Source organism: Homo sapiens, chromosome 18, assembly GCF_000001405.40.
Source record: "Homo sapiens chromosome 18, GRCh38.p14 Primary Assembly".
Classification (NCBI taxonomy): Eukaryota; Metazoa; Chordata; class Mammalia; order Primates; family Hominidae; genus Homo; species Homo sapiens.
This window is the reverse complement of record NC_000018.10, coordinates 7351246-7362996: the sequence shown is the minus strand read 5'-3', so window position 1 is coordinate 7362996 and position 11751 is coordinate 7351246. Positions and strand designations below refer to the sequence as shown.

At 44.7% G+C, this 11751-nt stretch overlaps 1 long non-coding RNA gene across 1 annotated transcript in view; it reads left to right on the top strand.

The window, feature by feature from the left end:
* The first annotated feature begins 3218 nt into the window (after positions 1-3218).
* The window catches only part of LOC105371975 (uncharacterized), a 32330-nt gene continuing 23797 nt past the window's right edge, over positions 3219-11751 (top strand). The window contains exons 1-2 of the long non-coding RNA XR_935123.1: positions 3219-3433; positions 11602-11664. This is a non-coding gene — a long non-coding RNA (uncharacterized LOC105371975). The remainder of the gene's footprint in view (positions 3434-11601; positions 11665-11751) is intronic.

Genomic DNA, 11751 nt, shown 5'->3' with positions numbered 1-11751 from the left:
GCTGCTCAGGAGGTGGATGCAGGAGAATTGCTAGAACCTGGGAGGCGGAGGTTGCAGTGAGCCGAGATCGCGTCATTGCCCTCCAGCCTGGCAACAGGGTGAGACTTCGTATAAAAAAAAAAACAAAAAAAACTTCACGGTTGTGGCTTGGCTTGGGGAGAAGGGTGTGCAGAGTTGCACAATGACCCTCAAAAGCCTCCACCCTGAGGTGACCCATATCACTTCTGCTCATACATTATTGCTCAAAGGAAGCCACTTGAACACAGCTCATTCAACAGGCAGCAAACGTGATCTTCCAGACACCCAGGAAGGGCAGGAGAAACCTTGGTGAGCATTAACATCTCAGTAGATAGGAGTCAAGGTCTCCTACCTCTGCAGTGACTGAAAAATGAGGCCTGTGAATGCAGGTCAGGCTCAATCTCAGCCAGTCACCTACAGTGTTTTTTTTATTTCTATTACTTTTTTTTTTTCCAGAATGCAGGACCTTGAAAGTCCTTTGGGCCCTAGTGTGTCTGGAATTGGTGGTTCTTGGTCTCACTGATTTCAAGAATGAAGCTGCGGACCCTCGCGGTGAGTGTTGCAGTGAGTGTTACAGTTCTTAAAGATAGTGAGTCCTGAGTTCGTTCCTTCTGATGTTCAGACGTGTTAGGAGTTTCTTCCTTCTGCTGGGTTTGTGGTCTCGCTGGTTTCAGAAGTTAAGCTGCAGACCTTCGCGGTGAGTGTTACAACTCTTAAGGTGTCGCTGGAGTTGCTCCTTCCTCCTGTCCGGAGTTGTTCATTCCTCCTGGTAGGTTCCTGGTCTCACTGGCCTCAGGAGTGAAACTGCAGACCTTCACGATGAATGTTACAGCTCATAAAGGCAGTGCTGTCCCAAAGAGTGAACAACAGCAAGATTTCTTGCAAACAGCAAAAGAACAAAGCTTCCACTGTGTAAAACGGGACCCGGGAGGATTGCTGCTGCCAGCTTGGGCAGCCTGCTTTCATTCCCTTATCTGGCCCCACCCACATCCTGCTGATTGGTCCATTTTACAGAGAGCTGATTGGTCCAATTTACAGAGAGCTGATTGGTCCGTTTTACAGAGAACTGATTCGTCTGTTTTGACGGGGTGCTAATTGGTGCATTTACAATCCCTGAGCTAGACACAGAGTGCTAATTGGTGCATTTACAATCCTCTAGCTAGACATAAAAGTTCTCCAAGTCCTCACCAGATTAGCTAGATACAGAGTGCTGATTGGTGTGTTTACAAACTTTGAGCTAGACACAGGGTGCTGATTGGTGCATTTACAAACCTTGAGCTAGACACAGGGTGCTGATTGGTGTGTTTACAAACCTTGAGCTAGACACAGGGTGCTGATTGGTGCATTTACAAACCTTGAGCTAAACATAGGGTGCTGATTGGTGTGTTTACAAACCTTGAGCTGGACACAGAGTGCTGATTGGTGTATTTACAAACCTTTAGCTAGATGTAAAAGTTCTCCAAGTCGTCACCAGATTAGCTAGATACAGAGTGCTGATTGGTGCATTTACAAACTTTGAGCCAGACACAGAATGTTGATTGGTGTATTTACAGTCCTTTAGCTGGACATAAAAGTTCTCCAAGTCGCCCACTAGATTAGCTAGACACAGAACACTGACTGGTGCGTTTACAAACCTTGAGCTAGACACAGAGTGCTGATTGGTGCATTCACAAACCTTGAGCTACACACAGAGTGCTGATTGGTGCATTCACAATCCTCCAGCTAGACTTAAAAGTTCTCCAAGTCCCCACCAGATTAACTAGATACAAAGTGCTGATTGGTGCATCCACAAACCCCGAGCTAGACACAGAGTGCTGATTGGTGTATATAAAATCCTCAAGCTAGACATAAAAGTTCTCTAAGTCCCCACCCAACTCAGGAGCCCAGCTGGCTTCAGCTAGTAGATCCCACCCTGGGGTCTTGGGTGGTGCTGCCCGCCAGTCCCATGCTGCGTGCCTGCAATCCCCCAGCCCTTGGGCAGTCGATGGGACCCGGTGCTGCGAAGCAGGGGGTGGTGCCCGTTGGGGAGGCTCCAGCCGTGCAGGAGCCCACCGCAGGGTGGTTCGGGCATGGTAGGCTGCAGGTCCCAAGCCCTGCCCCTTGGGGAGGAGGCTGAGGCCCGATGAGAATTCGAGCGCTGCACAGGCAGGCAGGCAGTGTTGGGGGACCCGGCGCACCCTCTGCAGCTGCTGGCCCAGGTGCTAAGCCCCTCACTGCCGGGGCCGGCGCCACTCCGAGCATGGGGCCTGCTGAGTCCGCACCCACCCAGAACTCCATGCTCAGCACCGGTTCCCGCCCCCAATTCTCCCTCCACACCTCCCCGCCAGCAAAGGGAGCCAGCTCCAGCCTCTGCCAGCCGAGAGAGGGTCTCCCACAGTGCAGCGGCAGCCTGAAGGGCTCCTCAAGCATGGCCAGAGCAGAAGCCCAGGCCGAGGAGGTGCTGAGAGTGACCCAGGGCTGCCAGCACGTTGTCACCTCTCACTAGGATATCTGATATTCTTCATCCACCCAGAACTCTTCTTTTTGTTCCAGACTGCCCGACTTGCTCTCACTTCCTATAATACTGATAGAACTATCTATGTATTGGCATTTATGTAAAATGCAAACCCCCTTTGGCTTCTAAGGGAGGGCAGGTGTCAGTTTCTATAAGATTATGAACGGAGGGCTGGGTGCGGTGGCTCACGCCTGTAATCCCAGCACTTTGGGAGGTCGAGGTGGGTGGATCACCTGAGGTCAGGAGTTCAAGACCAGCCTGGCCAACATGGTAAAACCCCATCTCTACTAAAAATACAAAAATTAGATGGGCGTGGGGGCGGGCGTCTGTAATCCCAGCTACTCGGGAGGCTGAGGCAGGAGAATTGCTTGAACCCAGAAGGCGGAGGTTGCAGTGAGTCAAGATCACACCACTGCACTCCAGCCTGGGCGACAGAGTGAGACTCCATCAAAAAAGAAAAAAAAAAGTTATGAACAGAAAGGAGAGGGGTTTGAGCTGACAAGGGTCACTTTCTCTCTCCATGGAGTTAGCCTGTACATGGTGGGAGACAAGGACAATGGGCAAAGGGAGGCAGAGCTAAGACAGACAGACGCATGTGCACACACACTGGGCAGTGGAGGAGGCGGAGGTTGGGAGTCTGGATCCAACCACATCTGATCCAGCCCAGCCTTGGCCCTCAGAGCTACCAGACCCAGTAAACCTCCTACTGGTTTATCCCGGAGCTGGTTTGAATCAAGTTTCCTTCACTTACAAATGAAAAAAAAATCTGATGAACTCCTATCTATAAAATCCTCCTGGAGAAATGCAGCTTTGGCATCTAGAGAAGGACCAAGCCGGTGTGCTGCTGTGAACAGGAGAGAAGCTGGAGCCACGGGAGATGGCTGGAAATAGACTCGGGCTGGATGTTTGCCAGCAGCTACGGTAGGATTAGGAGCTGGAAGACTGGACACTGTGGCTCTCTAGGGACTCTGCAGACATTTAGGGAGAGGTGGCTGAGGGGATGCCCACAGAAGTCTCAAATTTGAGCAGTTATAGGTGACTCAAGGAGCTTGGCATTGGAATGATTATTTTCTATGTCCTGCCAGGCAGAAGGTATAATGTGGGAGATTTCTAGCCTATGAAACTAAATCTATGCAGTGCATTAATCTTAATTTACTTTTTATTCTGATTTTTGTAGTCAATTGTTTAAAACCCAGGATGTCCTTTCTGAAGATAGTTGTTAGGATGCTATCAAGCACTCCTCTCAGCCCCTCCCAGATGCTGGGGTGGGGAAGCAATCAGTCTTATCTGTGTGGGAACCAGACTCCCACGAAGAGCAATCAGGGGAAGAAAGGAAACAAGGAAACTAACACGCATTTAGTATCTACTCTGTCCTAGGGGTCTGCTCTCTGCATATGTAATATGCACGATCTGTAAGATCCTGGAAGGCAGTTTACTTCATAAACGAGGAGATTTAGGTGGAGAAGGGGTAACTGGCCACTGTCTTATCACCAGCATGCAGCAGAGCTGGGTCAGGGGCTGGCTTAGTCTGATTCCCACATTCCTGCACTTTTCACTGTACAATGTTGCCAGGCCAAAGACACACCTTCTGGTCCCCACTCCCATTTGCAGATGTCTAAAGTTCTATGATAGAAACTTAAACACGAAAGCCTTTTGTTCGTGTTAAAAAGCAAAACTCTTTTATTTCTTTATTTTTTATTTATTTATTTTTTGAGACAGAGTCCCACTGTGTGTTGCTCCGACTGGAGTGCAGTGGCACGATCTCAGCTCACTGCAACCTCCACCTCCAGGGTTCAAGTGATTCTCCTGCCTCAGCCTCCCGAGTAGCTGGGATTACAGGCACACGCCACCTCACCTGGCTAATTTTTGTATTTTTAGTAGAGACGGGATTTCACCATGTTGGTCAGGCTGGTCTCGAACTCCTGACCTTAAGTGATCCACCCACCTCAGCCTCCCAAAGCGCTGGGATTACAGGCGTGAGCCACCATGCCCGGCCCAATTTCTTTCTTTATTTCTAAGATGGGGTCTCACTCTGTCACCCAGCCTGGAATGCAGTAGCCTGATTACAGCTCACTGCAGCTTCAAACTCCTGAGCTTAAGCAATCCTCCTGCCTCAGCTTCCAAATTAGCTGAGACTATAGGCCTGTGCCACCATGCTCAGCTTTTTTTTTTTCTTGGTACAGATGGGGTCTCACTGCATTGCCCAGGCTGGTCTCGAACTCCTGGGCTCAAGTGATCCTCTCACCTCAGCCTCCCAAAGTGCTGGGATTACAGATGTGAGCCACTGAGCCCATCCTAAAGCTCCATTAGATTTTGTGTGAGAGTTCAAAAATCAGGAAAGCCTGTGTTTCTGGTGACACACTTCACTCATTTCATAAGTTTGTGGCAGGTAGTAGTAAGTCAGAAGGTCAGTGCAGGTATTATGATGGTGTGGGAATAAAGCATTAACCAGCCTGGGACCTTAGCAGCCCTGCTAGCAGGTAAACCCTGAACTGAATGCAAATCAGCAAACAATAATGAGTCAGACCTTCCAGAGCAAACCATTTCCATTTCATTCTATATCTATGTATAGAGTGGCACAGAATGAGAAGAAATAGCAGATTAAAAAAAGATAATATGGCTGGGCGCGGTGGCCTCACGCCTATAATCCCAGCACTTTGGGAGGCTGAGGGGGGTGGATCACGAGGACAGGAGATGGAGACCTTCCTGGCTAACATGGTGAAACCCCATCTCTACTAAAAATACAAAAAATTAGCCAGGCATGGTGGCATGCACCTGTAGTCCCAGCTACTCGGGAGGCTGAGGCAGGAGAATTGCTTGAACCCAGGAGGTGGAGGTTGCAGTGAGCCGAGATTGTGCCACTGCACTCCAGCCTGGGCGACAGGGTGCGACTCCATCTCAAAAAAAAAAAAAAAAAAAAAAAAAAAAAAAAAATATATATATATATATATATATATATACACACACACACACAGCAACAAAAGCAACACACACTGAATAATATTTTGAGAGATTAACATTTAAGAAAGTACGTCATCCAGGAAAAGAAATGTGGGAGATTTCTTTTTATTTTTTTTTTGAGATGGAGTCTCACACTGTCGCCGGGGCTGGAGTGCAGTGGCGCGATCTCGGCTCACAGCAACCTGCACCTCCTGGCTTCAAGCGATTCTCCTGCCTCAGCCTACCGAGTAGCTGGGATTATAGGCGCCCGCCCCCGCACCCAGCTAATTTTTTGTATTTTTAGTAGAGACGGGGTTTCACTATGTTGACCAGGCTGGTCTCAAACTCCTGACCTCGTGAACCACCTGTCTCGGCCTCCCAAAGTGCTGGGATTACAGGCGTGAGCCACTGAGCCAGGCCAAGGGAGATGAATTTCAAGAAGAACAAGTTAAGTGGGAAGTCATACAATGGAATATTATATAGCAATGAAAAATAAGTGAACTACAGCTTCAAGTAGCCACATGGATAAATCTGTAAAATACAATGTCAAGCAAAAGTCACATGCTATATCATTTACAGAAACTTAAAAAAAAAAAACATGCAAACCAGTCAGTCCTATATATTGCTAAGAGGTACATTTACATGCAACACAAGGATAACATCAAGCATGGGATCAATGCAACTAAATCTAGGATTGTGTTTACCTCTAGATGGGGGGGGGGAACAGGATGTTTGGGATGGAGAATAATTCAGGAAGTTTCCACTGCTTTTGTGATTAAGCTGGGTAGGGGCAAATTGGTATTTGCTAGATTATTCTCTACATGTTTTGATGTCTGAAATACTTCCTAACAAATAAGAGAGAGGTAGGCAATAAAGAGGAAACAGTCTGGAAAATGAATGTAAAGGGATTCTAAGATTCCCTTAGAAAGGATTGTCCAGTGTGGGGTCCCACTGTCTTGCATATTTGACTAACAGTAATGACAGTTTAAATGTGACATTTAGCAACTGTTTCTGCTGATGAATCAAACCTTCATATGTCTTAACCTCTCACTTTTGGCAAATATAATGCCAGTCACACAGTAGAAAAATCTCTTGTGATTCATTATAGGAAACTGATATGTTTTCTTTTCTAGCCTTTTTAACTTGGCCAAATTAGAAATATTTTAAATGTCAAAAAAGAGAAAGAAAAATGCCATGTGCAGTCCTTTAGGGGAGACAGCTAATTCAACAACAGAGGCCAGAATGCTGGATGAACAGAGAGAGGTATTGCATTCCACTGTAGCTAGTCCCTATTCTTGCAAATTTACAAAATTAGAAACTTGAGTTATTATAAAGTAAGAAAAATAAGCCCCTTTCATTTATTTCTTTGGACATTTTATTGATTATAATATTATAATAGCTTTTACCATAAAGAGAGCTTATATAAATCCAAGAGAAGGTAAAAACACTAAAAGGAAAGAGGACAATTTACAAAACAAAGTAGATAACCAAAGATATCTTAAATTCAATTCTATTAATGCTCAAAGATATGCAAGACAAAAGGATTAAGGTCCTATTTTCATTTTTCATCCATCAAATCGCAAAAGATTTAAAAAAATTAAGAGCACACCTGTCTATCACAAGTTTCTGTGGGTGCTATTATATAATAAATTGTTTTCCTTAGGACAAGAACCAGTTTCATCTAGAGAGGGAAATACATCTACCTTCTAAATGTATGATTTATTATAAAGTACCAAAAAATCTATTCAAAATATCTCCAAATTAACCTAATACTATATAAGTAATTAAATTTCTTCCTCTTCTCTATCTTTGGATAAAATGTTCAAGGAATTTGTTAAAATGCAGCATATTCTCTGGGTGTGGTAAGCTCTGAGACATTATTAACTATCACAGCCATTGCTTAATTAGTTTATCAGATTAACTATTGAGTAGCCATTAAAAAACTCCTGTTCTTGTCATCTTTAATAGTTTTGAGAAGATACAAAAGCAATAGCAGAGACCCAAAATGCATTTAGAACAGATTACAACAAATATATGTACATGGAGTATAGACATGTACTTCAATATTGTAGAAATGTATTGGCTTAGAGCTCTCTCTGTTATATACTGCTTTGTTTTCTTTTGTAATGAAATGAAACTTTATAACAAAGTTAATTTGGCATAGTCAATGAGATATATGGTGATTACTGTGCTATGCAGTCCTTGGGCGTAAGTGTTGAGAAGCCCCAAACAAAACAAACCCAAATTGTAGTTTCTTCTTTTCTTAGCTTGTTCATTTCAAATATCTATAATCCGCATCAAGTGGACATTTTTTTCCTAATACAATGAATCATAGAATATTTGTTCTTCATATGCATAATATCACTTCTTCTTGCTAAGAAACTAAGGTTTTCAAGGAAACTTCCCAGCCTGGCTAGTTCCCTGTGTGTCCAGAGCAGGGTGACGGGAGGATTACCTTCTACTCAAAAGCCATCTTTGCTTACCAAGATATGGATTGTAGATTTAGGGGTGCTAGGAAGATCTAAATAGGGATTGGTGGCTTGGAAGAGAAAGAACACAGGGAGAAGAAAGTCTGAATCCTCCAAAATAATGAATCTGTGGCAGGAAAGCTGCAGGGGATGGGGTGAGAATGGGAGGAGCAGATAGACCTTCAGCAACATCCTCCTGCTCCCACTGGCTCAGCACTGGAGGGTACCCTAGGAAGCCTGCAAGACAGTGGCATCCAAGGCTGGGTGTAGATGTCATGTGGCATCAGGGCAAGCCAAAGCCCTGACACCCACGCTGCTCCATGTCATATCCCCATGGGCCAGATTTGCCTTAGCTTTGGGCAAAGCCCTCCATTCCACAAGTAAGGTTAGGAGGAGTAGACATGACTGTAAATGAAAAGATATACACTTTGTGAGGATGGCACTGAGTCAAATTATAATCCATGCATTGTAAGAGTCTTTTTGGAGAACAGATGGAAGGGTGTGGAGCGGTGGGGAAGGTGGTCAACAATGTGAGGCAAGGTCCTGCAGAAATACCCACATCCCACTTCAAACACAAGGCTATGAGAATTAAAAATTTAAAAACTTTTTTAGATATAGAGTCTTGCTTTATTTCCCAGGCTGGAGTGCAGTGGTGCAATTATAGCTCAATGTAACCTTGAACTTCTGAGCACAAGCAATTTTCCTGCCTTAACCTCCCAAATAACTAGGACTACAGTTGTGCGTGACCACACACAGTGAATTTAATGTTAACAGAGGTCTCACTTTTTGACCCATGCTGGTCTCGAACTCCCGGTCTCAAATGATCCTCCTGCCTCAGCCTCCTGAAGTGTTGGAATTACAGGAATGAGCCACTGTGCCCAGTCAAGAATATTTTTAATATATACATTTGTTCAAAAATTTATAGACAATAAAATCCTCAGTTTTCAACAGAATCATCCACATGGACAAGAGATAAAATGAGAACACAAAACAGGAAGCAGGGACTAGGCCTGCTGAAAACTGGGGTCAAAGAGAGGGAGTGGTGGACAGGAGTTCTATTCAGAGAGAAAGGGGATGGAAAGTTCCCCATATACATCCAGATGGGGATGCTCTGGGCTCCCTGCAAAAGAACATAGACTAAAATTAGCTACAACTACTAACCAAAGCTGGGGTAGAAAGTCAGCTTCTTGCTTGGGTGGAAGAAAAGAACAGAGATTTCTTGGTAGCCTGAAACCAGGCCTAACTATGTACTGGCACAGGGACTGGGTTTGCATGTAAGGGTTTAAGCTGTCAGCATAAAGCTTGATTATAACTAGGGACTCTGCAGTGCTGGGAGGTGACAACCTCAAAAGATCAGACAGAAAAGTTGTACATAAGAAGAGGGGGTGGGAGACAACTCACATTCAAAATTTCAAAACACATAGAAAGGTTTGTGTCGTAAAAGATAGCCAAAAAAATTCAACAAGTGAGAATTCATTCCTGAAGAAATGAAAATAATGGAATAATCTGAAAGGATTTACAATAAGTATGGTAATATTTTTCAACAGGGTAAATAAAGGAAAAACTTTTTTTAAAAAATTACAAAATTGGCAGACATTAATTAGTAATGTGTAGCTATGAAAAAGCACCAGTTAAGAGCCTGGAAGTAACAAATATAGTTATTGGAATAAAAAAGAGTAACTCCACCAATGCTGTCAAATCTATACAAGACACAATCAAATAGAAGATGTAGTAAAGTGAATGAAATAGTGAAGAATTCATCCAGAATATAACACTCAGAGGTCAAGAGAAGAAACAAAAATGGAAAATATTGAGAGACATGGAAGACAGACAGATTCTATCATACATCCATCTGTGAGTATTTTCAGCAGTAGAGGGGAGAAGAAATGGTGGTCAGGCATTTAAAGACAGAATGGCTGAGAATTTTCAGAATAAAGGATGCAAGTCCTGAGACTGAAAGCGTACATCAAGTTCTACACAAGGTAACACATGTTCAAAGTAACTGTAGGTCACCAAGAAAAAAGAAAAAGGTGCTCGAAAAAAACCCAGATTATCCACAAAGGGATAACAGTTAGATTGAGAGCACAACTTTCATCTGGAACAACAGGGACCAGAGGAGAATGGAGTGTCATCATCCATATGCTGATGGAAAACACTGTCAACCCTGAATTCCAAATACAGCTAAATTGTCATCCAAGAGTGAGAGCAAAATAACTTCAAAACTACAGAGACAAAGGATGTTGAGCACCAAAAAGACAAATAAATCCACGAGGAAGCCATGAGATGCACTCGGACGTCATTATAAATAGTGCAACAGAAGCCCAACTCTAACATTGGAATGCCAATATCCCAGGGAAAAACTCAGCATGCATCATGGCCTACTGGGATTATATTAGACATTAGAAACAGGCAATTGAAAGGAAAAGTCAACTTCCAATTAAGCAAAACTTATTATTCTCTAAGGAATGAAGGGAGGAAGGAAGAGATGGACCTAATGGAAGAAGGAGGAATAGAGGAAGGAAAGAAGGGAGTGGGAGGTTCACCTGCCTGCCCCTATATTTCCCAAAGTGGAGAAGTGAGAGCCCCCTGAAAAGATGGATATGTGAGCCAAAGGGAGTTGAGGCTCACCTTTGGGTTTACCTATTGAGTGTACCTCCTGGGGGTGTGTATGGGATGGGGGCAGGGGACACATGGGAAATATGAACCAAAGCATTTCTGGCCATGTACCAGGCGATCATCCCCTTGACAAGAACTCTGCTGGGAGAGAACAGCAGTGCATTACAGGTCCATGGCAAGGATGGCCTGGAGCACAGGGCAGGGCCAGCACCTCTGCAGGGCTCAGGTTGGACACCAGACAGAGATTCTCCAGAGCAGGAAGAGGGCATAGAAGTCATAAGGCTCTTGTTTTGTATCAAGCCAGCCTGCATCAGAGGGCACCCCCTAAATTTGGTGTCTTTGTCCATTTGTGCTGCTATAACAAAATAACCTGAGACTGGCTTATTTATAAAGAATGGAAATTTATTTCTTACCATCCTGGAGGCCGGGAAATCCAAGATCAAGGTACCAGCGGATTCAGTCTCTGGTGAGGGTTCTGTCTGTTACCAGGATGGTCCCTTGTTGCTGTGTCCTCACATATTAGAAGGGCAGAAAGGGACTAGCTAGTTCCCTGGAGCCATTTCATAAGGGCACTAATCCCTTCATGAGGGCAGAGCCCTCACCACCTCATCACCTCCTGAAGGTCCCACCTCTTAACACCATCACCTTCGGGTTTAAGTTCCAACCTAAGAATGTTGGAAGAACATGTCCGTTCAAACCTCAGCACTCGTAAGAGGTTAAAGTGCAACTCTGGCCGGGCGCGGTGGCTCACGCCTGAAATCCCAGCACTTTGGGAGGCCGAGGTGGGCAGATCACGAGGTCAGGAGATCGAGACCGTCCTGGCTAACGCGGTGAAACCCCGTCTCTACTAACAATACAAAAAAATTAGCCGGGCGTGGTGGCGGGCGCCTGTAGTCCCAGGTACGCGGGAGGCTGAGGCAGGAGAATGGCGTGAACCCGGGAGGCGGAGCTTACAGTGAGCCGAGATCGAGACACTGCACTCGAGCCTGGGAGACAGAGCGAGACTCCGTCTCAAAAAAAAAAAAAAGACATTCAAGTGCAACTCTCTGTCCCCATCTCTGTTAGAACCTGAGAACCAACTGGGGCAGCTGCTGAGCTATAATGAGTGGAGCTTTGAGAAGAAACATGGTAAGAAGAATTTTAACAACTTAGCTCAGTTTTATGAATGAAATTCCTTCTTGGTCCTTTTTGCAATTTCATTAATATTTTAAAATT